The 26,968-nt window shown below is 43.1% G+C and overlaps 2 long non-coding RNA genes across 2 annotated transcripts, besides 1 other annotated feature; one reads left to right on the top strand and one right to left on the bottom strand.

Annotated features, from left to right (window-relative positions):
- The first annotated feature begins 13,548 nt into the window (after positions 1-13,548).
- Positions 13,549-14,675, top strand: LOC124902402 (uncharacterized). The gene is made up of 2 exons (XR_007062100.1): positions 13,549-13,703; positions 14,240-14,675. It is a non-coding gene; the product is annotated as an uncharacterized LOC124902402 (long non-coding RNA).
- Positions 13,862-15,061: an enhancer, noted in NCBI's record as "BRD4-independent group 4 enhancer chr10:30150443-30151642 (GRCh37/hg19 assembly coordinates)". NCBI's record gives its function as "activates an origin of replication core promoter dependent on BRD2, P300/CBP, MED14 and CDK7 cofactors, and independent of BRD4, by STARR-seq in HCT116 cells {active_cell/tissue: HCT116}" and the evidence as "EXISTENCE:reporter gene assay evidence [ECO:0000049][PMID:35650434]".
- LOC107984173 (uncharacterized) lies at positions 14,077-15,558 on the bottom strand. The gene is made up of 3 exons (XR_001747288.1): positions 15,364-15,558; positions 14,764-14,857; positions 14,077-14,335 (listed from the first exon to the last, which is right to left on the bottom strand). It is a non-coding gene; the product is annotated as an uncharacterized LOC107984173 (long non-coding RNA).
- Between the last annotated feature and the right edge of the window lie 11,410 nt (positions 15,559-26,968).

Here is a 26,968-nt window from a genome sequence, read left to right as displayed (position 1 = left end):
AAGCTGCTGAACCAAGATCCAAACCCAGGCAGTCTGACTCAAGAAGCTCCATTCTCAGTCAGTTCCCTTTACAGCCTCCCCAAACATATACGTGTAGACTGGCTGATGGATTCATGAACTTTATGCCTGAGGGAATGCGGGTAACGAAAGAGAACCTTCACTCGTTCATCCAGCATACACGTATTGCATTCTTAGTATGCGACAAGCCCTGGGCCAGGCCCTGTGGAGATGGTGGTTGAGAGCGGTGGACACTACCCCTGTTCCTTTGGACCTTGAAGTTCAGGAAAAGAGGGCAAAGATGACTCTGAGTTCGCCAGTGTGAGTAATTCAGAGATGAAATGATAGCTCCATGGGGACAGACGTCAGGAGAGGGAGTCAACGTGGAGGCAGGAAATTGATCTTGGCAGGTGGTCTGTGGAGCTTCAGGTGCCAGGTTGAAGCAAATTTAACAAGTGGAATTGTTCAGAAGGTGATGGAAATACTGGCTGGGAACTGAGAGAGAGACAGTGTGGGAGATGTGGACTGGGGAATTGCATAAATAATGTTGACAGCTGAAGATAGGAGAATAAGCCAAGATTAACATGGAGAAAATTAAGTCTAGAGACAAGAGCCAAGCCTTGGAGAACACCCCAGAGAGAATGGACCCCCCTCGAGAGAAGACATGGCCACAGGGAGTGCAGGAAGCCCAGGCACTCGGGGGTCTGAAGGAGAGAAGGCGCTAACAGGGCCAAGGGTCTTGGGAAGAGCAACGAAAAAGAATACTGGAGAAGTTTCTTTGGTTGGCCTAAAGGAAGTTCTTGTGATTTCCAAGAGCACAGTTTCAGTAGAGGGGTGAGGGTAAATTACAGATTATAGGAGATTTAGGGAGAAAACGGGTGATGAGGAAAAGCCATTTACTAAATACACTTCACATGGAAAAGCTGGCATTACTAGGGAGCGAGAATGGGCAGTTAATGGAAAAAAAATGCCGAACAAAACCAGTTTTATGGATTATGTGACCTGGACCAAATATAAATATGTTCAAATGCGACAGTCCCTGGACTTAAAATAGAGTGGTAAAGCCAAGCCAGCTGAAAGAAGACCTCCAGAGGTGACCTCCCTGAATCCCAGAAGATCCACCCCAGATGAATGGTGGTCTCGTCTCTCTGTTTCCTGTTTGGGATCACGACTTCATTTGGTTCAGCAGATTCTTTCTTATTTTTATAATTAAAATTTTTTGAAATAAAAGAAACTACCCAGTTAATCCCCCAAATGTATTTTTTTCCTTGGGGAAACATTTACATTCTTAGGACCCCAAATGCTAAGCCAATAAAAGCAGCAGCAGAAACCATTTTTCATTATTATCCACAAAAAAGCAGAAGGAAGTGAAAGCCTCAAAGAATTTCAGTGTTTCGGGGGGAGAAAAAATGACTTTTTTGCCTTTGGATTTTTATCTTTTCTGCCACCATAATTTAGATAGACAAAGAACAGGCCTGGCAGTGAGGCCAGTCTCCATAAGGTCAAATAGCTGATTTCCCAGAGGACTTGAAGAAAAGATTATCAAGAGTATCTTTGTAAAAGCACAGCGAGCTCAGATCTGAGATCATGGGAGATCATAGGAGTGAGCTGTTTCTTGTTGAAAGCAATTGTTAAATTCAGCACCAGAGCGCATTAATTTGTGAATCATAGAGATACCGTTCTTCCTAGAAAACTCATCACCTACTGACCTCGGGTGCAATTCACGCCCAAATACTAAAGCAAAGGGCAAATCAGAAGAAGTGAAATAAGAAAAGCCTCAGGTCACAGCTACTCCGAGGAGAGGCTAAGGCAACTGGGTCATGCTGGCTTGAGAAAGAGGAAAGGGAAATGGAGAAAAGATAGGAATCACAGGAGTTAACTGCCGGCTCTTTGTGTTAGGAACAAGACAAGAAGGAATGGTTTAAACTCCCACATGAGGACTTTAGTTTGAGAATAAGAAAGAACTGTTGACCAATTGGTTTGTAAAACATGAAGTGTGTTCCTAAGGATCATTGAGATCATTTAGTTCAAATCCTACATCCTCCTACCTGAGCTTCAGCAAGTTAACTTAACTTTTCTGTGCCTCTGGGTTGGCTCATATCTATAATCCCAGCATTTTGGGAGGCAGAAGCAGGAAGATCACTTGAACCTAGGAGTTCAAGTCTAGCCAGGGCAACGTAGTGAGATCCCATCTCTACCAAAAATATAAAAAATTAGCAAGCATAGTACTGCATGCCTGTGGTCCCAGCTACTCAGGAAGCTGAGATAGGAGGATTACTTGAGCCTGGGAAGTTGAGGATGCAGTGAGCTTTGATCATGCTACTGCACTCCAGCCTGGGAGACAGAGCAAGTAACTTTCTTAAAAAAAAAAAGAGAGAGAGATTTCATAGTATCTCTCTGTTGTAAGAATTTTGAGTTTGTTCATATAAAGTGCTTAGCAGAGAAGCAGACATGACAAATGCTCAATGAATGTGAGCTCTTATCATCTGCATTGTGGTCATTGGTGGCATCATTACACCCAACAAGCACTCACCTCAACCCACACAGCCAAGTGTGAAAGAAATGTCACATATTTATTCTAAAACTGCATTCATTGTCTGTTTTGAGCCCCCCATTTGGAGGCATATTTATCCCAAGCAATTCAGAGTCACTTCCTTTCCTTGAGTGGGGGAGAGTTGGCTTCTGTAAGCCAAGGTGGTGGGGACGAGGAGAGTGGGCAGGTCTGGTCCTGGGGACATTGTCAGTCCATGTCAGCATCCTCTAAGAGCTGAATGCAGCCTCAGGCCTCAGTCTGCACAGATAGCTACCACTCTCCAGGGTTCCTCAGCCAAGCTCTCTCTCCCCTGCTTTCAGAGCCAGCTTGGGTTATGGCCATGGGACCCCTGAGAGGCTGGATAAACCCTGATGCGACTCAGGGCCTGAGCAGCCATTTCTGTCCGGGGATCTTGTTACCGCCCAGAGCTGGGCCGAGGAGTGGGAGACCCAGGATTCCTCTGTTGATTGATTTCCCCAGAACTTTTTTCCCCCTACCGGAGGCTTTGGCCCAGAGAGAGCAACACATGGGACCTCCCTTGGTTGAATCCTCAAAATCTATGAATACTCCTGACTTCTTTTCTGGCTGTCTATCCACTGTCAATTACAAGGACAGATGAGGGACTAAATGTTTGGTTAGTTCACAACATTATCCCACTGCACCCTGAATAAGTTACTCTTCCACTTCAGCCCCCGATGGAAGGCTCCTATTGGGCATGGTGGTCTTGCTGCTTCTCTCAAATAACTTCCTTCTGCCCGCACAGAAAAGCTGCAAGAGCTCCTCAAAAGAGCCCGTGGCTGTCATCTGTGTCCTTCTGCAAGGGCCCGCACAAAGGTTTGTGAAGCCAGCCATTTACCTTCGAGAGAGGGAATTTTGAGAGGCTTTCACGGGCAAACAAGCAAAGCATTCCACTCCCATCAAGTCTCACAACTAGGGTAACTTAGGGCTCAAAACATAGCTTAGTTTCATCCTATTAATATGTCTAAATAGCTTACAGAAAATACGGGTAGGAAAATAAGACGAAGCAGGAAGAGTTTACTCCACGTGCCAGGGATCCATACTTGCTACAAGACAACCCCAAAGGGGACCCACCTTTCTAATAGCCCAGGCAAAGGAAGTCACATCTCTCCCCAGCAGGGAGAGAAATTCCCACCATGGGTCTCAGGAGGGGGACACTGTGTAAGGCAGTGAATGAAATTTCAACCGTGTCCTTCCAGGAACAGATACAGTGAACTTCCCACATATAACACCCTGGGGGGAGTTGGACAGTTGGGGGAGGGGGTGAAAAAACCACCCTGGGTACAGACTGAGAGCATCTTGACAAAGGGAATTCATGTAAAAATCATTCCACAAGGGTCGGTATTGTCAACCCTGGCACACATCTCGCTGCTACTTAAATACATAATAAATAATCTAAATACACCTAAAAGAAAGTTTAGTAGATAGAGAAGAGAATAGACTACCTATTATTAGGGCAGTTCTTCCCAGATTGTTCCTTTCCAGTATCCAGTGAGTTCAGGTCAGAGTGACCAACTGTCCCATTTGCCCGGGACTGAAGACCTTCCCAGAATGTGGAATTTTCAGAGTTAAAGCCAGGATAGTCCCAGGGACACCAGGATGGTTGTTCACCCTAATTCAGGATGACAATGCATGGTACCTGGATCATAGCTCTTCTGTGTTGCTGGGTTTTTGTTTGTTTTGTTTGTTTGTTTGTTTGTTTGTTTGTTTGTTTTTAAGAGACTGGTGTTACTCTGTAGCCCAGGCTGGAGTGCAGTGGTACAATCACAGCTCACTGCAGCCTCCAATTCCTGGGCTCAAGTGTTCCTCCCACCTCAGCCTCCTGAGTTGCTGGGACCACACCCAGTACAGAAGGAGTCTTGCTATATTTCCCAGGCTGGTCTTGAACTCCTGGCTTCAAGTGGTCCTCCCGCCTCCTCCTGAAGTGCTGGGATTACAGGGGTAAATCACCCTGGCCAGCCCTGTGTTGCTGACTTTAAAAGTCGGACAAACCGAGGTAGGGAGGAACCCAAGAGGAAGTAGAGAGCTGCCAGATCTGTGCAGGGAAGGGGACTGAGAGAGTATGTGGCAGGGCCTGGATTCTCCTCCCGAAGTCTTCTCTCCTATAATGCACAGGTCAAGGCCCACAATATGCCTGGCCTGGTGCTTTGTCTGTTCCAGGTGCTCAGTCAATGCGAGGGTTCAAGTTGAATGGAAGTGACTTAGGGGAAAGCGTTCCTCAGCCTGTCCCAGCTCCTTTTGCTTCATCTTACCTTGAATCTTCAGCTTCTGTTCAGGGCTGAGCTGTGTGTCCTGGAGGCTGGGCCCCTAGAGATGGAGAAGCACAGTCCTCTTCTACAGGGACTGATGCTCTTCACCTGGCTGCCCAGATACTGAACTAAGTAACCTGCCCCCCCGCATCCTGCTCTGGGTAATGTTCTCACTGGGGCTCCCCTTTCCTGAGAAGAGACTGTGACCGGCATCTGGGGCTCTTTTCTTCTTAACATTATCACCTGTTTCGCATCTCAGCCACCTCAAGGACCCAGGGTGCCAGACTTATGGCACTGGGATTTTAGACAGAAATAACATCATCTTTGCCCATGGGGGTCTTGTGATGTAGTTGATCAAACAAATAGGTAAATTGGGAAATGTAGTCTTGTCAACTTTATTTTGGAGGCTTTAGAATTGATATACAAATTAAAGCAAAAATAAACAAACAAACCCACTCCCAGAACTCAGCTCTTAGACCAAAATTAAATCAAAATAATTTAGGCCTCTGAAAATTATCTCCCACTTCCTACCTCTGGCTCTCCTCCTTCACTTTCTGGGAAAGAGAAGCAAACAATCAAAGAAATAGATTCTCTAACTCCTGATTTATTTATCCTAAACCTATAGGTGGATCACTTACCTTTTCTGGGGCTGAGTTACTTTATCGATAAATACAAATAGTAATAACAACAGCAACAGATGGATTGATGAATGGATGGATGGGTGGTGGATGGATGAATGATAATAGATAAATGGATGGATGGTAGATGGGTGGATGGATGGTGGTAGATGGATGGATGAATAAATGGATGAATGGTAGGTGGATAGATGGTTATGGATGGATGTGTGGTGAATGGATGATTGGATAGTAGATGAATGGATGGATGGTAGATGGGTGGATAGATGAATGGATGGATGATAGATGAATGAATAGATGGAGGGATGGGTGGTAGATGGATGGGTGGTGAATGGATGATAGATGAATGGATGGATGGTAAATGGGAGGATAGATGTGAGTGGATGAATGATGAACAGATGGATGAATGGGTGATGGATGGTGGATGGTAGATGGATGGATGGGTGGATGGATTGGTGGTGGATGATAATTGGGTAGATAGATGGTTGGATGGGTGGTGGGTGGATGTGGATGGTAGATGAATGGATCGATGGTAGATGGGTGGTGGATGGATGAATGATGGACAGATGAATGAATGAGTGGATGGTAGATGGATGGACGGATGGATGGGTGGTGGATGGTAATTGGGTAGATAAATGGTGTTGGATGGGGGGTGGATGGATGTAGATGGTAGATGAATGGATAGATGGGAGATGGGTGGATGGATAGTGGATCGATGACGAATAGGTGTATGAATGGGTGGTGGGTGGATGATGGATGGATGGATGGATGGATGGATGGATGGATGGATGGATGGATGGTGGATGGTGGATGGTTAGACAGATGGTGGTTGGATGGGTGATGGATACATGAATGGGTGGTGGATGGTCAGATGAAGACACTGGGCCCAGCTATTACTCAGATACCTCTCTGAGGTAGATACAGCACTAACATTTGAAATGCATGCTATTGGCATAAATTGTGGTTGCTATTCTTCCAAATTAAACAGAGGGGTATCCACTGGGAGCAAAACAGACAAAAAATGGGTCCTCCAGGACCCTTTTAAATATCTGTGGAATGGAAGCAATGAAGTTATGTTTCTCCAAAATGAATTAATCTGTGAAGAGTTCCTTGAGAATCTTGGATTAAAATTGCTCTTTTAGAGCCAAGACTAACACATATCTTACATAAAAGTGAAAAGAATCTTTTCAGCTCCCCCCTCCCCAAATAGATTACTGTATCCAGTCAACAAAATCTTATCTTAAACCTCCAAAGAATTACATGAGCTCTCCTTAAATTTTACTCTTTAATTAAGAGACCAGTTTGAGGTTAGCCAGATCTGGGGCTTTGACGTAGCAGTCGCCAAACCTCAGCGACAGGCCTGGTTTCCATCTCTGTGATATTAATCTTTTGAAGGCCAAACATTCTCCTTAATAAAAGCATTTCATGTGCCTTACTCTTAGCAGATGCCTAATGACTGCTTAGAGAAGGAAAGAAGGAAAACCCAATGAATCTAAAGAATCGAGATAGACTGAGTTCCCTACACCAAATGGCTCACGTACGAAAGGAACCATTGTCTTCTAAAAACTGACCCTTGGTAAGATTTTGAAAGACTTGGGTTTTTCTTGTGATTTTGCTCAGAAGATGATTGTCTTATTTTCTTTTTAGTTGTTCAATTGGTAGGTCTAATTAATGCCATTCACTTTTTCCATGAGATCTGGGATTTAAATGTGCCTATGTGAATTTCATCCTTATGCCTCCATTTGAGTTAGTTCATGTTGTTGGGAATTCTGCAAAGTGAAAAGCTCTGGACAGGAGATTGGTATATTACTTGGGCTCTACTATTCTGAGCCATGAAATTCTATGCAAGATACTGAACTCTTCTTGGCCTCAGTTTCTCAGCCTCATCTCCCTTACCTGTAAAATGGAGATAATCCTATCCACCATACCCTCTAGGCATTGTAAAGAATGCATCTTGACCAAAGCTAATCGCAAGTGTAGCAGTCAATTATAGTTGGGGAAACAATAAGAAAAGTTATCTTGTTAAGAAGAAGAAATCATGATAAAGTAACATTTGCATTATTATATGAACATGGCTTTGAATGTCCAAAGTTAGTTTATAACCAAACTTCCCGTACTTAACAAATCCCTCTGATATTACCAGTGAGGCAAACATCAAGATAACTTACCCTCATATAAAAAATAAGACCAAAGCGGGGATACAGAGTTTGATAGAGAGTTTGTCTAAGGGGTGGACTCAGAGACCTTTGAGGTCCTTTTGAATGGGGACACTGAGATTCCAAGTTTTTGTTTTTTGTTTTGTTTTGTTTTTTGAGACAGAGTCTCGCTGTCTCCCAGGCTGGAGTTCAGTGGCGCAATCTCGGCTCACTGCAAGCTCCACTTCCCGGGTTCTCGCCATTCTCCTGCCTCGGCCTCCTGGGTAGCTGGGACTACAGGTGCCCGCCACCACACCTGGCTGATTTTTTGTGTTTTTAGTAGAGACGGGGTTTTACCATGTTAGCCAGGATGGTCTCGATCTCCTGACCTCGTGATACGCCCGCCTCAGCCTCCCAAAGTGCTGGGATTACAGGCGTGAGCTACCGCGCCTGGCCTGAGATTCCAAGTTTATTAATGAGTTTCCTCAGATCTGGGAATTCCTCATAATTTTTCAGTGCCCTATCTCTCCCTTTGGTCTTTGGTCTTTTTAGCATTATTTATATTATAAATTTAGCATTCTTTATGTTATAAATAAGGCTAAAAGTATAAGTTTCCAGTAACAGAAATGCTAGGGTCACATTAGTAGTCTTTTCTCAATTTCAGTTCTTTACAAAATATAGGGAAAAAAATAATTTATGACAATGAACGAACTAAGATTTATGGTGGTTGTTTTCATGAGAGTTGAGAGCATTAAAGAATCCATAAGCTTTGCTGCGGGAATGGTGGCTTACACCTGTCATCTCAGCACACTGGGAGGCCAAGGTGGGAGGATCATTTGAGGCCAGGAGTTTGAGGTCAGTTTGGGCAACACAGTGAGATCCTATCTCTACAAAAAAAGAAAAAAGAAAGAAAAGAAAAGAAAAAAAAATTACGTAGCTTCCAAAAAACAAGCTACTTTTGGGGAACATGAATGGAGCTGGAGGCTATTATCCTTAACAAGTTAAATGCAGAAACAGAAAACCAAATCCCACACGTTCTCATTTATAGGTGGGAGCTGAATGATGAGAACTTATGAACACAAAGAAGGGAACAGCAGAAACTGGGGCCTACTTGAGGGTAGAGGATGGGAGGAAGGAGAGGAGCAGAAAAAAATTAACTACTGGGTACTACACTTAGTACCTGTACCTGGGAAATGAAATAATTTATACAGCAAATCCCAGTGACACGAGTTTACCTATATAACAAACTTCACATGTCCCCCGAACCTAAAATAAAACTGAAAATAAAATAAATTAATTAATAAAATACAACAAAATAAAATGAAAAGGGAGCTTGCTGCTTTGAAAAAAACACCATGATAACCTCGAAGTCTATGTTCAAATTTAGAATTCTCGACTGTCTGGAATTCCGCAGTGGAGTATGGTGGTGTGGGGAGAGAAGGCCCTGGCTCCAGGCCTTTGTACCATAACTCACCCTCTGTTCTCTCATTCCCTCCATGTTGCGGGGAGACTCATACTCACCTATGTGGACATCCCAGCACACACATCCAAACTCCAGTCACCAGCACATGCAGGGGTGTGATCCAGAAAAAGGAAAGCTATGGCCCCTTAGCTCTGGGGACACCTTGTCCCAGGGGGAGGCACAAAATTGGATAAAGAGGCTTGGTGCAATGGCTCACACCTGTAATCCCAGCACTCTGGGAGGCTGAGGCAGGTGGATCATTTGAGGTCAGGAGTTCAAGACCAGCCTGGCCAACATGGTGAAACCCTGTCTCCACTAAAAATACAAAAATTAGCTGGGTGTGGTGGTGGCCGCCTGTAATCCCAGCTACTCAGGAGGCTGAGGCAGGAGAATCACTTGAACCCGAGAAGCGGAGGTTGCAGTGAGCCGAGATCATGACACTGCACTCCAGCCTGGGTGATAGAAGACTCCATATCAAAAAAAAAAAAAAAAAACCTCGATAAAGAGTCAGAGTTTATTTCCCTAGAGTGAAGGGCTGTAACAGAGTTTAGCAAACTGCAAAGTCTAATGGAACAGTCCCTTACTTCAGACAATAGTTGCAAGTTTGGGGGTCTTCAGGATCACCCTCAGATTCCACAAATCAGCCAGGCATGGTGGTGTGCACCTGTAGTTCCAGCTACTTGGGAGGCTAAGGTGGGAGGATCACTTGAGCCTGAGAGGTCAAGCCTTCAGTGACCTGTGATTGCACCACTGCACTCCAGCCTGGGCAACAGAGCAAAACTCTGTCTCAAATAATAAAAATGAAATTCTCCCCAGAGATGGCTGTGTACATTGCCTAGGTCAAGCATGCTACTTAGAGCAATTATATTTGCTTCCCAGGTACTTCTTCAGACACCACAGCCTGGCCTTAAAAAGACTGTTCTGAGTGTCACAAGCGCTATATAGGGACTCAAATACCAGCCAGATGATCCCTGACCCCAGAAACCTCTTCCATTCCAAAGACGCTTTGTCCACATCCTAATGGCCACAGGAGAGGCCCCAGCCCCTCTTTCAAAGTTTCTTGTGACTTCAGTGTGTGTTTATTAATAATGGCTCCTCTGAGCAAGCCTCCAGTGTCTCCAGCTCATTCATTCACAGTTCCCCTTGCTCCAGCTAGGATAGTAAAGCATTTGGAATCATGACATGTAAGGGAAGCTGAAGGAGCAAGACAAGAAAGTCTTAGTGGAAACAAGGTTTCTGATTTTAGAGATGAATGCTCCTATGAAAGAAATACCAGATTTATTGTTCATGACTTATTATTCCTGACCGGATTAGTATTCATGACATCCAAGGACTGATCTGGGACCCATGAGTGGACATAGAGGTAGATTCCTGGCTTGGTATGAGGAAGAACAGTCTGTTTAGCACCAGAATCGGCTGCCTCATGAGAGAGAGAGTTCCCCTGCATTCAAAGTGTGTGCAGGCAGAAGTAGTCTGTTTAACAAATTAACATTTGTTAATAGGACATCTTGCTTCCAATAGAGAGCTTGTCTAAGGGATGGACTCAGAGACGTCCGAGGCCCTTTCAAACGGGGGCACCAGGATTCCAAGTTTATTAACGAGTTTTCTCAGATCTGGGAATTCCCCATCATTTTTCAGGCCCTATCTCTCCCTTTGGTCTTTGCAGAAAGCCTGCAGTAAAAACACTTCACATTCCCCAGATATCATTCTCCCCACCCAGTTGAAAAGGTGAAAGTGACATACTTCAACCTGAGAGACTGCATTCTTATCAATACTGCTCAGGGCAGAAGTGTGTGAAGCCACTGAAGTCTGAAGTTCACATTTCCCTCTTTTCTCAGAAGCCCCTGCTTTTACAGAAACTTCTTTCTTCTCTTAGAACAAAGCAGTTTATTGAGCTCATGACATCTTCATCAATATATGAGAATATATAAAGATTAAATAGGGCCTGGGACATAATAAGTGCTCAATAAATCTTTGTTGAAAGAATCAATAAATACATTTTAAAAGCAAGAGAAGAAACAGGACAACGCTCAACCCAAAAGGCAACTATCTTAGCTGTCCCAGGCCCATCTGTACGATAGGATGAATATACTAACGGTGCTTTGCTCTTGGGTTAGTCTGTGGATTGGATAATATAATGAATGTAACATGCTTAGCAGAGTGTTTGGCACATATTCAAGGCTTACCAAATGCTGAGGCTGGGTGTGGTGGCTCACGCCTGTAATCCCAGCACTTTGGGAGGCCGAGGCAGGCACATAGCTTGAGCCCAGGAGTTCAAGACCAGCATGGGCAACATGGCGAAACTCTGTCTTTACAAAAAAATTTTAAAAAATTAGCCAGGTGTGGTGGCAGATGCCTGTGGTCCTAGCTACTCAGGAGGCTAAGGTGGGAGGATCACCTGAGCCCAGGAGGAAGAGGTTGCAGTGAGCTGTGATCACGTCACTACATTCCAGCCGGGGTGACAGAGCAAGATGCTGTCTTAGAAAAAATAAAATAAAAGTAAATTCGCGCAAGTTCTCTTCTCTGTTGTTATAATTATTATTATTATTGTTGCTTTAAACAATGTGATCTGAAACAGGGTGGACAAGGGAAAGAGCTGTTCGGGATTAGAACAGGGCTTCTTCCTGGCTATCCCCCCCACCTTTTTTTTTTTTTTTTTTTGAAATGGAGTTTTTCCCTTGTTGCCCAGGCTGGAGTACAACGGAGTAATCTCGGCTCACTGCAACCTCCACCTCCCAGGTTCAAGTGATTCTCCTGCCTCAGCCTCCCAAGTAGCTGGGATCACAGGTGGCAGCCACCATGCCCAGCTAATTTTTGTATTTTTACTAGACACGGGTTTTCACCATGTTGGCCAGGCTGGCCTTGAACTCCTGACCTCAGGTGTTCCTCCTGCCTCGGCCTCCCAAAGTGCTGGTTACCCCTTTTATCGCATCACACCACGTCTTATCACATCATCTGGGATTGGCAAACTATTTCATGCAGATTTTAAGGAGAGAAAAACAGACCCTCACTTGGCAGAGGGGTGCATTTTCTTGCTTCAGAGGGTTGGATTGCCGAGAGAACCAGGGACTTGTGCTCATTGCCTTGGTAATTACAGAACCCTCTGTAAGATGGTAGATGTCAGAATTACAGATGCAAATGAGCCCTGGGCTTCAGAGGAAGTTAAGGGTAGTCTGAGATTTTATATTGGGAACGTCTGTTGGAAAATGTCATAAAAGAATGAGTCTATGATTTAAATTTTCAAAAGTACTTACCAACAGGTGGGAGAATTTGTGAAAACCAAAACATATATGTTTTTTTAAAATCTTGTCGATTCAGGCTATGTGTGCTGCCAGTCACTCCTGGGGGTTGGGGCAGACCAGGCCCACTGCTACCTCATCTTCCTTCTAGCCTGAGCTTCTGTTGATGTCATCCCTGTCGGACCCTGGATGAGAAAGAAAACGGGAACAACACGAGGAAGACGAGACATCTTCCCCAGTGAGAAATCTGCAAGTGTGCCATTTTAGAGTTCGTGGTAACATCTTTTCTTTGTTCTTTTTTTTAATTTAATTTAATTAATTTTTTTTTTTTTTTTGAGACGGAGTCTCACTCTTGTTGCCCAGACTGGAGTGCAATACCATAATCTCGGCTCACTGCAACCTCCGCCTCCTGGATTAAAGCAATTCTCCTGTCTCAGCCTCCTGAGTAGCTGGGATTACAGGCACCCACCACCACGCCTGGCTAATTTTTGTATTTTTAGTAGAGACGGGGTTTCACCATATGGGCCAGGCTGGTCTTGAACTCCTGACCTCAGATGATCCGCCCACCTCAGACTCCCAAAGTGCTGGGATTGCAGGCATGAGCCACCGCACCCAGTCATCTTTTCTTTGTTCTAACAGTTCTAGCAAAGCACTGTTCCTCTCTGCAAGCAGGGAAACTCCTAGAGTACTAGGCTATGTTTGGGAGGCCAAGGTGGGAGGATCAATCTGGGTCAGGAGTTTGAGACCAGTCTGAGCAACAGAGAGAGATCCTCCCCATCTCTTCAAAAAATACAAAATTATCTGGGCATGGTGTTGCACACCTGTAGTGCCAGCTGAAGGAGGGACTAAGGCAGGAGGCAGGAGGATCACCTGAGCCCAGGAGCTCAAGACTGCAGTGAGCCACGATTGCACCACACTCCAGCCTGGGCAACAGAGCAAGACCCTGTCGAGAAGGAAAGGAGAGGAGAGGAGAGGAGAAGATTTAATGTAGGGTCGAATGATTTATTATCATTTAATTTTTAAAAAGACAAAGGTTAAAAGAGATTCTATTGTTCAGTATGATTCACTTGCTAAGTGTTGTGAAGGGCCTGTAATTCAGGTCCCTAATGACCCATGAAACCAAATGCCCTGGTGAGTCAACCTCAAAAATTACCTAGTCATCTGATAAGTATTAAGCACAAACAAAAAACACTTGTTAAAAGCTGCAGACAGTATCAATGTGTATTATTAGCCAGTTATAACTCAAGCCTTTAAAACCAGGCAAGTCACAATAGGCTCTTCAAACACCTTTCTGACATAACTAAGGCAATCAGCCCATTGCGCCATAACCAGAAGACAATATCTAATGGCAATTGCCATGTATAGTGTGAAGGCCTTTCCTTGTGGATTCAGAATGGAGCATGGACCACAATTCTCAGAAGCGACTTCTAGAGAGGTAAACTATGTTCTTCCCATTCCTCAGATAGAGAAAGATCAAAGCATGTATATAAGTAATTTGCTTATTTTCAGACTATGTTACATAATTAAACTATATCCCAGGGCAGATCCTGCATGATAACTTTTGTGGGGGGAGTGGGGGACAGAGTCTCACTGTCATCTAGGCTTGAGTGCAGTGGTGCGATCTCTACTCACTGCAACCTCCACCTCCCGGGTTCAAGCGATTCTCATTCCTCAGCCTTCTGAGTAGCTGGAATTACAGGCGCGTGCCACCACGCCTGGCTATATAGTCACCTTTTATTAGGTGTAGGAAGTCATAACCTTATTGTTCCAGAAGACAGAAGTTGTCTTTTTTTACCTGAATTTCCCAAAGATTGCTTCTCAGAAACGACTGCTTTAATAGTCCCCAATTGGTGTGAATGGAATAGTTAATTAAAATTCTATGATGAAGTGCATTAGAATTTGCAATAAGCCTCTTGCCTTTTATTCACTCCAGATGACTGCCTTCTGACATCATTGTTTTTTTTCTTCTAGATGTTGGGTGTAATGCCAGCCATTGTTACAATAGGACATTGCATTTTATACCTGAGATCACTGACTGGTTGTCATCAGATAGAATCATGTAGTCCCCTGTTGTACAAACAGAACATTCTGATGACTATTCATTAAGTGAAATATAATGGAACACTTAAAGTGACCCCAAGATTAAACCCTTATTTGGGGTTTGTCTAATGACTAATGGTCACTACCACCAGTTTGGAGACATTACAACAAAACTCTGCTGCTGACAAAAATATTAACCATAAATGATGAGAAATTTTCAGTTGGGACCAAAAGAACATCTGGAGGCCATTAAAGCAGGAGAATTTTCCCTCTATGTCCTGATTGCCAAACTTAGAACCAACCACCCAGAAACTGTGGCCCTCATGCTAACTCAATGTTTATATTTCATTAAAAACGATTTCAAGGGTTTGCGTCTTGCACTTCATGGCCCAACTCCCATGCATACAGCTTTTCATCTCACTGAGCATGTCCTGGAGCAGACGAGCATTCCTCACCTCTTGGTTTCAGAAGAAGGAGCTTCTTGGGGAATAATTCCAGGTTCTTTTTTTGCATCTATAATCTAATCAAGAATCTGTAGGTCCTACCATCCTAGGATAAATGAGGAGAAGAAAACAAGGATGCAAGACCCAACAATAAAAATATTAGAATTTTAAAAATACTATACTAGAGTTTGCTTTTAAATACCTAGTAAAGCTACAATAAGTCATGAAATTGATGAATGGAAAGTTATATAATTTCAGCTGTATATTAGTTGCTTTTTGCTGCTATAACAAATCACCACAAACTTTGTGACTTAAGACAGATGTAGCCAGGCACGGTGGCTCATGCCTGTAATCCCAGCACTTTAGAAGGCTGAGGCAGGCGGATCACCTGAGGTCAGGCATTCAAGACCAGCCTGGCCAAGATGATGAAACCTCATCTCTACTATAAATACAAAAATTAGCTGGGCATGGTGGCACCTATAATTCCAGCTACTCGGGCGGCTAAGGCAGGAGAATCAGTGAGTCGAGATCACACCACTGCACTCCAGCCTGGGCAACAGAGCAAGACTCCATCTCAAAAAAGGAAAAAACAAAACAAGACGGATATATTACCTTACAGTTCTTGAAGTTAGAAGTCCAACACAGGTTGCACTGGACTAAAATCAGGGCATCAGCTGGGCTGCATTCCTTTCTGGAGGTTCTAGGGGGAAATCTATTTCTTTGTCTTTTAGCTCCTTGCAGCTGCTCCATTCCTTTGTTTATGGCCTATTCTCCATTTTCAAAGCCAGCAAAGTTGCATCTTTTTAACTTTTCTTCTGCAGGAATATCGCCTTCCAACTATGGCAAGAAAAGGTTGTCTGATTTTGAAGATTTGTGTGATTCATTTAGGCCCACTAAAATAATCCAAGATAATCTTCCCATCTCAAGATTCTTAATTTAATCACATCTGCAAAGTTCCTTACAAAAGCAACATATTCACAAATTGCAGGGATTAGGACGTGGACATCTTTGGGGGATCCATATTCTGCCTATCACAAGCTATTTCCAGACTCCAAGTAGTAAAGAGAGTTGAAATTCAAAAGCTCATCAGTCACCTTTTTTCACTGTCATTCCTTTTAGCATTGAGTTTTACCTTAGGAAATAGGACAGATGTTTTCAATACCTAAAACCTTAAACATAGAACAATTTTACAAATGTCATGAAACCAGAATGAATCTCTTGGCTGAAAGTTTTTCAATTTTCAAAGAACTAATTTTAATTTTACTAGTAAATTTGAAATGGATCCAGCTTGCCTGCTGTACTTTTATATGAGACACTAAATCACGGTTCTTTGGAAACGGCAACATTGAAAGCATAAACTGTCATTTTCCCAGAATGTGTGGAAGGGCGGATGTGGTTGATATAATGTGTTTCTTAACACATCTTTTCACCCTGAGCTCACTCCCACCATGTGTTTATATGCACTGCAGGGCATACAGCAGCCTTGGTCGGTGCACGTGTTCGCAAGTAGTTTCGCCTATTTCTCAAGCATATATTCCTACGGGTGCCTAGCAAATGCCTTAGCTGAGGACAAGGTGTCCAAGGAATAAGTACTTGCTGCTGTTTTCCAACACACACCACAATTTCGGCTGATTCTCAGCAAAGGGCATTTCTTCTACTCTGGGATCTGTGAATTTGCTCATGGTTTTTAACAACCTGCAGCCCGGCTCAAGTCATAGTCTGGATCCCAATTTGAAATTAGCTACATTTTATTAGTAAGTGTCCAGAAATGGCTTGGCGGGTCATTTTCTGTCTTGTAAAATGTGGTTCTTATTGGCAGTAACATGCTTTTTGGGCACTGACTCATGTTCTCTCTTCAAGCAAATGATTCCTTCAGGAGGCACACGCTATATCTAGGTTTGCTGTGTGCAACACATCAGATCCTGGCCATAGGGTGACTTAGCAAAGGTACAGGCAGTTTATTGCACACCTATGTACACTTCAGGTCCCGTGCTAAGAGTTTTAAGGGCATTATCTCATTTAACTTTACAAAACCCTGTAAGATAGAATCTGTTAATCATCCCATTTTCAGACGATGAAAGCAAGATTTAAAATGACTTGCACAACCTCATGAAACCGACATGCTTGGGCTGGACTATATTGAGACTAGGTGAGGTGAGTGAGCACTCAGTTTGGTGCAAAATGTAAAGGAAAGCCAAAAGGCTCAGTAAGCAAGGTAAAGGATATTTCAGTGCAATTTTTTAAAAATGCAAAATTAGTGAAAACATTCCATAGTAAAATATTAAAATGTGAAAAAAAGACAGACTCTGACCTTATACTGGGACTCAGCCTTAATCACCTGACTCTAATCCTGGCCCTGCTGAATCCTGTCCCTTCCCTGGCTGGAATTTGAACCCAAGGCTGGCTGAGGCTGAAGCCCATGTTTGTACCCACTACTCTATAGGATGCATCTGCCTCCTCTGCCAGCAGGGCAGCTGGGAGGTACTTAAAATGCTTTTCAACAATGATGACAGGCTGGGTGCAGTGGTTCATGCCTGTAATCCCAGCACTTTGGGAGGCCGAGGTGGGAGGATTATTTCAGGCCAGAAATTTGAGACCAGCCTGGGCAACATAGCAAGACCCAGTTTCTAAAAAAAAAAAAAAAAAAAAAAAATGTAATTAGCCAGGCACGGGGGCATGCACCAGTAGTCCCAGCTACTCAGGAGGCTGAGGTGGGAGGATACTTGGAGCTCAAGAGCTGGAGGCTCCAGTGAGCTCCACTGCACTCCAGCAGTGATTGCTCCACTGCACTCCAGCCTGGGCAACACAGCAAGACCCTGTCTCTAAAAGAAAACAAACAAAAAAAACAAAACCAAAAAAATAATGATGAAAACAGAGCTGATCCTCTCTGCTACCCATCCCTGTGAAAGGTACATTGCAGCAGGACTAAGAGTGGCATCAGTGATGGTGAGAAGTCATGTGAAGTAGCCTCTGATCCTTATATCAGCCAAGGAAACTCTTGGTAGAGTGAGTCCTAGTTTAGGGAGAGGGACTTTTCCCTGAGCAAATCAGTAGTAATCAGTCTGTGAGTAGATTTGCTTTAGTGCAAGTGCCGTGACTCAGTTCAGATGGACCCAGGGCCCCCTGGCAACTAAACTATTCCCGAGTGATTTTGTGACTTCTTCCTCCCTGCCCAGCTGGCCCCCTGCAGGTGGCACTGTGGACTCAAGGCCTCTGTTCCTCCTAAAATAGAAATTCCTTTGCACAAGTCGATTGGAAAGCCAGCGTCCTGTTTAACTTCTTGTCTCCTGCAATTTGAGCAGCTGTCGAGCCGCTGCCAAACAATGCCCACAGCTCTTTTGAGTGCATCTCTCACTGCAGCCCTGCCTGTCCAGCTTCCACGGCTGTGGAGGGGACGCACGAACCACACTTCTGTCAAAGAGGGTACTCCATAAAGTTGTCATTCCTCCTGCCTCTTTCTCCTTTCCCAGCCAGATCTGAACTTCATATTATATTACTTCTTGTAGCATCTTCTTGTATATCTCAGTTTAAACTTTTGGCCATAACTTCGGTACCCAAGCTTTAAAAAACATGTTGCTTTCCTTAAATGTCATCTTGAAATTGAGCAGGATGCTTTGCTCTGAGGAAGCCGTCCTTTTCCTGGGATCCACAGTGATATCTGTCTACCCTCTGAGCTCTCCCTGGGCTCAGGGTACTTGCTCTACTTCATGTTCAACTCAAAGTCACTTTCTCTGTTGGACATTTTAGTTGTTCCAGTTCACAAATGGATTGTGCAATTTTTTTTACTTTTTAAGAATTCTTGCTTTTTCTTCCTCTACTTTTTAAAAATTTTCTTTAGAGACTAGGTCTTGCAATATTTCCCAGGCTGGTCTTGAACTCCTGGCCTCAAGCGATCCTCCCACCTTAGCCTCCCAAAGTGCTGGGGTTACAGGTGTGAGCCACTGAGCCTGGATTTCCTCTTTCTTCTTAAGACACAAACATAATTTTCTCTATGTTTTCTTCTGCTAAGAGTATTAACAAATATATTCTTCCTTTATCAACAACAAATACATGTCTGTCACAGCCCAGGCTCCATATCATCTCATGGATTTTCCTTACTCTCTGAGAGTTCGGCTGAGACTCTTCCCAAAAATTCCTCTGAACTTAGCTATTTGCTCTAGTCAAGGGGGATCTGGGTAGTTGAAAAAAAGAATGTCTTAATCTGTCCTGGAGACAGCTGAGTTTAATAACAACAATCAAAAAGGAGAATATTCTTCTCTGAAGACAACTGAACAATCGTTCCAGCAAATACCATTATATTTTATTAAAAAATAAGACATGAAATGTAGGTAAGGAATGGAGGTACTCATATTTCCAGACTGCATTTTCAATTAGCGTTTTCTTTTTTTCTTCTTTTTTTTTTTTTTTTTTTGAGACAGAGTCTTGCTCTGTCACCCAGGCTGGAGTGCAGTGGCACAATCTCAGCTCACTGCAACCTCTGCCTTCCAGGTTCAAGCAATTGTCCTGTCTCAGCCTCCCAAGTAGCTGGGACTATAGGTGCATGCCACCACGTCCAGCTAAGTTTTATATTTTTAGTAGAGACAGGGTTTCACCATATTAGTCAGGCTGGTCTTGAACTCCTGCCTTGGCCTCCCAAAGTGCTGGGATTATAGGCATGAGCCACAGTGCCTGGCCTCAATTAGCATTTTCTGAAGACTACTTTATTGATGTTTCTAATGAAACAATAATAATACTCAAACAGAACATCTGAAAAACTCAGAAGAGCATTCTAAAAAAACAGTTACAAAACCAACCATCCAAGGTAACAACTGACAACATATGTTTTTTGGTTTTTTTTTTTTGAGACGGAGTCTTGCTCTGTCGCCTAGGCAGTGGTGCGATCTCGGCTCACTGCAAGCTCCGCCTCCCACATTTAAGCAATTCTCCTGCCTCAGCCTCCTGAGTAGCTGAAACTACAGGCACGTGACACCATACCCGGCTAATTTTTGTATTTTTAGTAGAGACTGGGTTTCACCATGTTGGCCAGGATGGTCTCGATCTCCTGACCTCGTGATCCACCTGCCTCGGCCTCCCGAAGTGCTGGGATTATAGGCGTGAGCCACCCCGCCCAGCCAACAACATATGTTTTAAAGTAAACTCTTTCAGTATTTTTCCCTACACATCTGAAAAATGTATGTATTTTTAATCTGAAATTAACTCTTACTTTTCCTACTACAGTATTTTCTGTTCTGGTTAACATGAACGTAAATGTAAGTTAATGATTACATTCTCTCATATGAATACACTTTCTCAAATATTTGCCAAGTTGCCTCCAAATTTTGCTGTCGTAAGCAATGCTTTCATGAACTTCCATATATACGTCTTTGAGCACAGTTTTTAATTCCTCTGGAATAAAGTCCTAAGAATCAAAATGCTGGCCAAATAAATATGCAGTTTATAAAGTTTTTAATAATATAGTAACAAGTTGTCCTAAAAAGAAAATTATGCTAATCAACACTTTCACACTATGGTGTAAAATCACCAGAGAAATGAGCCTTCCACCAAAGGAACCTCAGTTAAGAATGAGAAAATTTGGCCAGGCACAGTGGTTCATGGCTATAATCTTAGCACTTTGAGAGACCAAGGTGGGCAGACTACTTGAGCTCAGGAGTTTGAGACCAGCCTGGGCAACATGGTGAAACCCAGTCTCTACAAAAAATACAAAAAATTAGCCGGGTGTGGTGGCATGCACCTGTAGTCCCAGCTACTCAGGAGGCTGAGGCAGGAGAATCGCTTGAACCTGGGAGGTGGAGGTTGCAGTGAGCTGAGATTGTGCCACTGCACTCCAGCCTGGGTGACAGATTGAGACTCAGTCTCAAAAAAAAAAAAAAAAATTACCCAGGCATGGGGCATACGCCTGTGGTCCCAGCTACTTGGGAGGCTGAGGTGGGAGGATCACTTGAGCCCAGCAAAAGGTGGAGGCTTCAGTGAGCCGTGATCACACCACTGCACTCCAGCCTGGGCAACAGAGTGAGACCTTGCCTCAAAAAAAAAAAAAAAAAAAAAAAAGTCCAGGCACAGTGGCTCATGTTTGCAATCCCAGCACTTTAGGAGGCCAAGGCAGGAGGATCACCTGAAGTCAGGAGTTTGAGAACAGCCTTGCCAACATGGTGAAACCCCATCTCTACTAAAAATACAGAAACGTTATCCAGGCGTGGTGGTGCACGCCTGTAGTCTCAGCTACTCGGAAGGCTGAGACATGAGAATCACTTGAATCCAGGCGACAGAGGTTTCAGTGAGCCAAGATTGCGCCACTGCACTCCAGCCTGGGTGACAGAGCAAGACTGTGTCTCAGTTAAAAAAAAAAAGAAAGAGAGAGAGAGAGAAATTTTTTTCTGAGAGCATCAGAAGAAATTCATCAGTGAAAAGGATTATTGAGAAAGGCCATCTAATCTTTATCTTTATCCAGCCTTAGTGATTATACACCAGGATCCTCTGGTGAGCTTTTAAAACCCCCCACCCCTGGAGATTCTGATTTTATTAGTCTTGGGTGTGGCCTGAGCATGGTACTATCTTAGAGCTTCCCAGATAGTTTTAATGTCAGCCAAGGTTGAAAGCCACCAAGCAAAAGCATGTTTTAAGTGGAAGAAATTTCCAGAAGTTTGGTGAGGTTCAGGTGTGTGTCTGCTCAAGGGATGACCTGAACAAGTTCTTGTTTTTTCCCTTAATTCTTTGACTTTATGAAAAATATTTCTGAGAAAACTTTGACAATTTATAAACCTCTGAAAATAAATCATAAAAATGTCCAAGTTAGGTTCTTTTCGTGGTGTTCAGATGACCGAAAAATGAGAGACTTAGAGGCATCAGTAAGTTTGCAGTCAGAGAGAAGAAAGTCACACTGCAGGGATGGCTTCACAGTTGTAACTTGGCCAAAGGTGGAGAAAGTCCCTTTCTGGACACAGACGAAGACAGGGCAGTATGGAAGAAGGAGAAAGGGCGTGGCTTTGGGGTCACACAGACCTATGGTTGAATTCAAGTTCTGTTATTTATTAATGTGTGGCCTGGAACAAATTCTTAACTTTTCTGGGTCTCAGTATTTTAGTTTTTTAATCTATAAAATAGCAACTATATAGCAACTTTCTCATAGGGTGGTCATGAAGGTTATAGTGGGATAATGTATGTATGATTCCTAAACACTGGTCAAAGATAACTGCATTTTTTAAAACTGATACCAGCAGTTCTTCATACATGGCCTTTGCAGCATACTTACTTCTTGATTTGCTTTCACTATAAGGGACCCACCTATCCTAACTATACTCCAAGTTAGGGCAGGTGGATTCTAAGACCAGCCCTGCCACTCCCCAGAGGCATGACTTTGGGCAAGTCACAGCTTTGCAGAGCCACAATTTAAGCCTTGTTTAAACACTTGGAAGCCTCTCCTAACTTCAAAAATCTCTAAAGGAGATCTTTTTCCTTGCTTGGAATTTTTGATATTCAAATTAAATACATCACGAGAACATCTCATATCATGATTTTTAAGAGCTGTAATTTATAGTGCCTATTATGTGCATATGCATGTGATAGCATTTAAAGTTCCCAACAACTATGGGTAGTACAGGGTAGTCGATATTCCTATCCTCAGTAATGCGTGAGGGAACAGATTCAAAGGAAAATAATTTATCCAAAGGTACACAGTTGATACATTGCACAACTGAAATTTGAACTTGATTCCAAAGCTCTTGGTCTCAACATGCCTGATTCCAGAGCACTGCTGGTTGTTAAAACAGCCCCGATTATGCAAAGGTAAACCCTTCCATTTGAGGACCATGCAAGCTTTTTCATTTTCCTCTTCTTTCCCACTTCCCAAATTCTCGCAATTGTTTTGACTCAATAACTCCCCACCCAGAGTTTTGGCAGGAATGGGAAAATCCTACACTCTTAATTTTCTAGAGTCCTTTGAGTGAACCACATCAATATAAGCTACCAAACCCAAAGTAAATGCATCCCCAACTCCTCTTTTATTAACTGGATCTTATAAACACCCACAATCATCCCAACACTACCCAAGAGAATGGGAAACATGAATGAAAGGAGATGGCAATCGTAACAGATTACAGCTACAATAGCATACGTTTTAAGATTATGAAATATATGAACATATAACCGCACTGCTAAAGTCCATCCCAGGCCCTTGGAAGGGGCACATTCTTGAGGGATACCAAAGTGTTAGCTTCATCAGTTACAGGTAAATTCACCTCTAGCCCTGCCTCGCTCAATTTTATTTTTTTATATGAGACTTGTTTACAAATAGCTACAGAGGCATTATGAGTTTTAAAGAAAAATAATGAAGGCTGTTAAATATGGTCTATTTTTTCTATTGCTATCATACATGATGGATTTCCCTTTTTAACCTTAAAATAGAGAATTATTTGATTCTAATTATTTTCATCCGTCACATAATTACAGAACTTCAGAGCTAGAAAGAACAGAGTTAGAAAGATACAGAGCTCATCTATCCACAGATATCTGGGTTTTCAGGATGAGAAAACAGGCCTGCAAAGGCTGCATGACCCAGGCATACTCTACAAACAGAGACAGGCTCTTGTTCATAAAACAGCAGCGACAATCACTCCAGCCTGCATCTGTTGAGAGTTTATTCTGCCCAAGACAGGTAGAAGCACAAGGCACGCTCTCTGTTCCCAGAGAATTTTGCTCTAGTTGGGAAATTTATATATAATTAATAATGAGATAGTAGCTGATAATAATAAATAATGATATTATTATTAATATCATAAATAATAATGATAGTATCCGATAAAGTGAGATTACTGTCAGAGGAAAGAAGTGTGATCTCAACCCATTTAACACTTATAACGCTCAATATGAGAAGTTTAGCAACTTCGATCAAATGTGGGGTTCTATCACCTTGCCAGTCAGCCTCTCCTGAACCAATGGGGTTGTCAATTCCGTTAAGAAGCCCCTTGGGGGCTGGGGATTCTATGGCCGAAAGAAACTACCAAAGACTCCATTTTTATCCACATTTTATTGGTTTTGGCTAGATGCACCATAAAACTCTCTGCAATAGACAGGTACAGTGTATTCTATAAAGTACGTATGTGTGTGGGTGGGTGTGGGTGTGGTGTGTATGTTTCAATGGAAAAGAATACAATGTTTCTGGGAATATAAATACAAAATAGTTGAGTTAATCCTAAACCTAATATACTATGTTTCAAATTAACTGCTTCCTCTGAAATAATATTTGGATCAAGTTTTTGAAGAAATCTTCACAAATACAGGAACTCCAGATGGTAAGTCCAGGTCAATATTCAAGCACAAATGACTTCTTGCTTCTAGTTGTGGTCTTAAGTGAGAAGGAATCTTGTCCAAATGACTTCCAGGAGATGTGCTTCCCTCACCCCTCCATGTTTTTGTTCCTGCAGCCCCTAAAGTACAGTTAATCCCTAGGAGCCCCTAAAGTACAGTTTTTAAAACCTAGCTAATGAGTACAGCAAGTAAATACAAGTTCCAGAGCTAAAAGTGTCCAGTAATACCCACCTGCACTCATAGCCATGGCCAAGATGTGGGACAATATTTTGCAAAAGCTTACTTAAAATTAGGAAAGGAACCAAGCATAGTGGCTCATACCTGTAATCCAACACTTTGGGAGGCTAAGGCAGGAGGATTGCTTGAGGCCAGGAGTTCAAGACCAGGACTGGCAACCAATCAAGACCACATCTCAAAACAACAACAACAACAAATTAATCAGCTAGATGTGGTGGTGCCTACCTGTAGTCCCAGCTACTCAGGAGACTGAGGTGGGAGGATTCCTTGAGCCTAGGAGCTGAAGGCTGCAGCTCAAGTCTGATCACACCACTGCACTCCAGCCTGGGTAACAGAGCAAGACCCAAATGCTAAAAAAAAAAAAAAAGAAAAAAAAGAAAAAGAAAAAATTAGGAAAGAGCAAAGACTAAAGCAGCACTATCTAATGTAACTTTTTTTAAGGGTGGAAATTCCCTATATCTGGGCTGCTCAATGCATTAGCCACTCACCTTATTAGCTATGGAGCCCTTGAAAAGTGGCTGGTGAGACTGGGAACTGAATTTTTAATTTGAAATAGTTTTGATTCCTCATATGGCTACTGGCACCATTCTAGAGCATTTTGCTTCTGCAAGTAAAATTACAAGTACAGAATCTGCAATGAAATGGATGTCTACCCTTTTGGTGGAAACATCTAAGGAAGCAGACCATCCCCTCCTCTTACTCTTCTCCCTCTTCCACCAAAAGGAAAGTTCAAACAAGAACACTTTTGTATTAATTTCCTGTTCCTGCTGTAACAAATTACCATAGACTCAGGGGCCTAAAACAACACACATGTATTATCTGACAGTTCCGGAGCTCTGAAGTCGAGAATAGGTCAGCCTGGCTGCGTTATTTCTGGTGATTCTCAGGGTGATTCTGTGGTCTCGACTTTTCCAGCTTCTAGGGCTTGGCTGTATTCCTTGGCTCATGGCCCCTTCCTCCATCTAACTCCTGTCTCTCTTTTATGAAAATCCTTTCTGATTAACTGGAGCCCGACTGGATAATCCAGGTTAATATCCCACCTCAAGATACTTAACTTAATCACATTTGCAAAGTCCCTTTTGTCATGTCAGGTGACATAGTCAAAGGTTTCTGGGATTAGGACATGGACATTGTGGGGGCGTGGGGGATCATTCTGCCTACTGTACCTTTGCTATAGATGAACTTGAAGTAAGGCCATTATCTCTCAGTGGATTCATGAAAACTCAGCTTCTAGATTCTAGAAGGTAGCCCTGGCTGGTGAGGCTTCACTACAAGTGAGTTGAGGTTTTCTTAGTGTCCTTTTGTCCAACCTGGTCGTTCCCCAACTTTAGCCAGCACCAAAATCACCCAGAGGGCTTGTGAAAACAGACTGATGGACCCAGCCCCACAGTGTCTGATTCAGTAGGTCTGGAGTGTGGCCCAAGAAAGTGCATTTCTTGGCCAGGTGTGTAATTTTTAGAATATGTCCACAACCTTTTTCACATTCCTGCCTTCAAAAGGTGGAGACTTCTTTTCCTCCCCTTAAGTGTGATCTAGATTAAATGACTTGTTTCTAACTATGTTTGATGTTAATAGATGGCCATGTGATTTTAAGACAAGGCTCTAAAAGGCACAGCAGTTTCCACACCCTCTCTCTTGGATCACACCCTCTGGGAAAGGCAGACCTTCGTGTCTGGAGGACACGTGAGCAACCTAGGGAGGAAATGAGGCATCTCACCAACACCTGGCACAAATTTGCCAGCCGCCTGTGTGTGCCACCTTGGAAACTGATTTCATAGAGCCTTCAGATGAGACCACAGCTCTGGGTAACATCTTGTCTGTAATCTCATGGGACCCCAGCCAGTTAAGCTAAATTCCTGACCCACAGAAACTGTGAGAAATAATAAATGTTGACTGGTGTTTAACACCACTGAGTTTTGGGATACATGCGATGCAGCAATAGATAACAATATGCCAGGTGACACTGATGCCACTGTCTAAGGATTGCATTTTGAGAACCGCTGGTCTAGCCTTTATACTGTGTAAGGCAAAGGATATTTCCTTGCCACCTGCACTATATACTCCAGGAAGCCAGAGGAGGGAAAATGTTCTCATATTGAAATGTACTGCATATTTATTTTCTTTTTTTCTGCAGACATATTCAGTTACCACCAGTTGCTCTTTTGTGGAAGTGTTTTTACTGGGAAGAATAACAACAATATGTCAAATGATAGCTGGGCTCCAGAAGCCCATTTCTGTCTACTCAGTCATAAAAAATGTTCCGCATATGGATGAAGAACCAGACAGGTTTAGCGAGAAGAAGAAATGATGAAAAGACTAGACCATCATTCTCTCTCACACTTTCTTAAATCTGAAGGTGAACCAGATGAAGAAAGAAAACAAAACCCTTGAAAAAAGAGGGAAAGATAGCCCTAGGATCCAAGAGAGCAAGTGGGTGTCCAACTGTTAAATAATGAGAAACTGAAGCTTCCTTCATTGTGTCAGAGAGGCCAATTCCTGAGCCAGCTGTACAGGAAGTGGGGAGTTTACATTATCTGGGATGTCAGTGAGAACTGAGGGGACATGCTTCCTGTGTGGTTCTCCACAAAGATTAGCAGACTCTCCAGGAAAGATGCCTTTCCAGCGGTTTCATTTTCTGTTTTCTTTTCCAGTTGGTAGATGTGGGCCAAGAAGGGAA

This window comes from Homo sapiens, chromosome 10 (genome assembly GCF_000001405.40).
Source record: "Homo sapiens chromosome 10, GRCh38.p14 Primary Assembly".
NCBI lineage: Eukaryota > Metazoa > Chordata > Mammalia > Primates > Hominidae > Homo > Homo sapiens.
The sequence above is the reverse complement of the archived record's forward strand: the minus strand, read 5'-3'. Positions and strand labels throughout refer to the sequence as shown.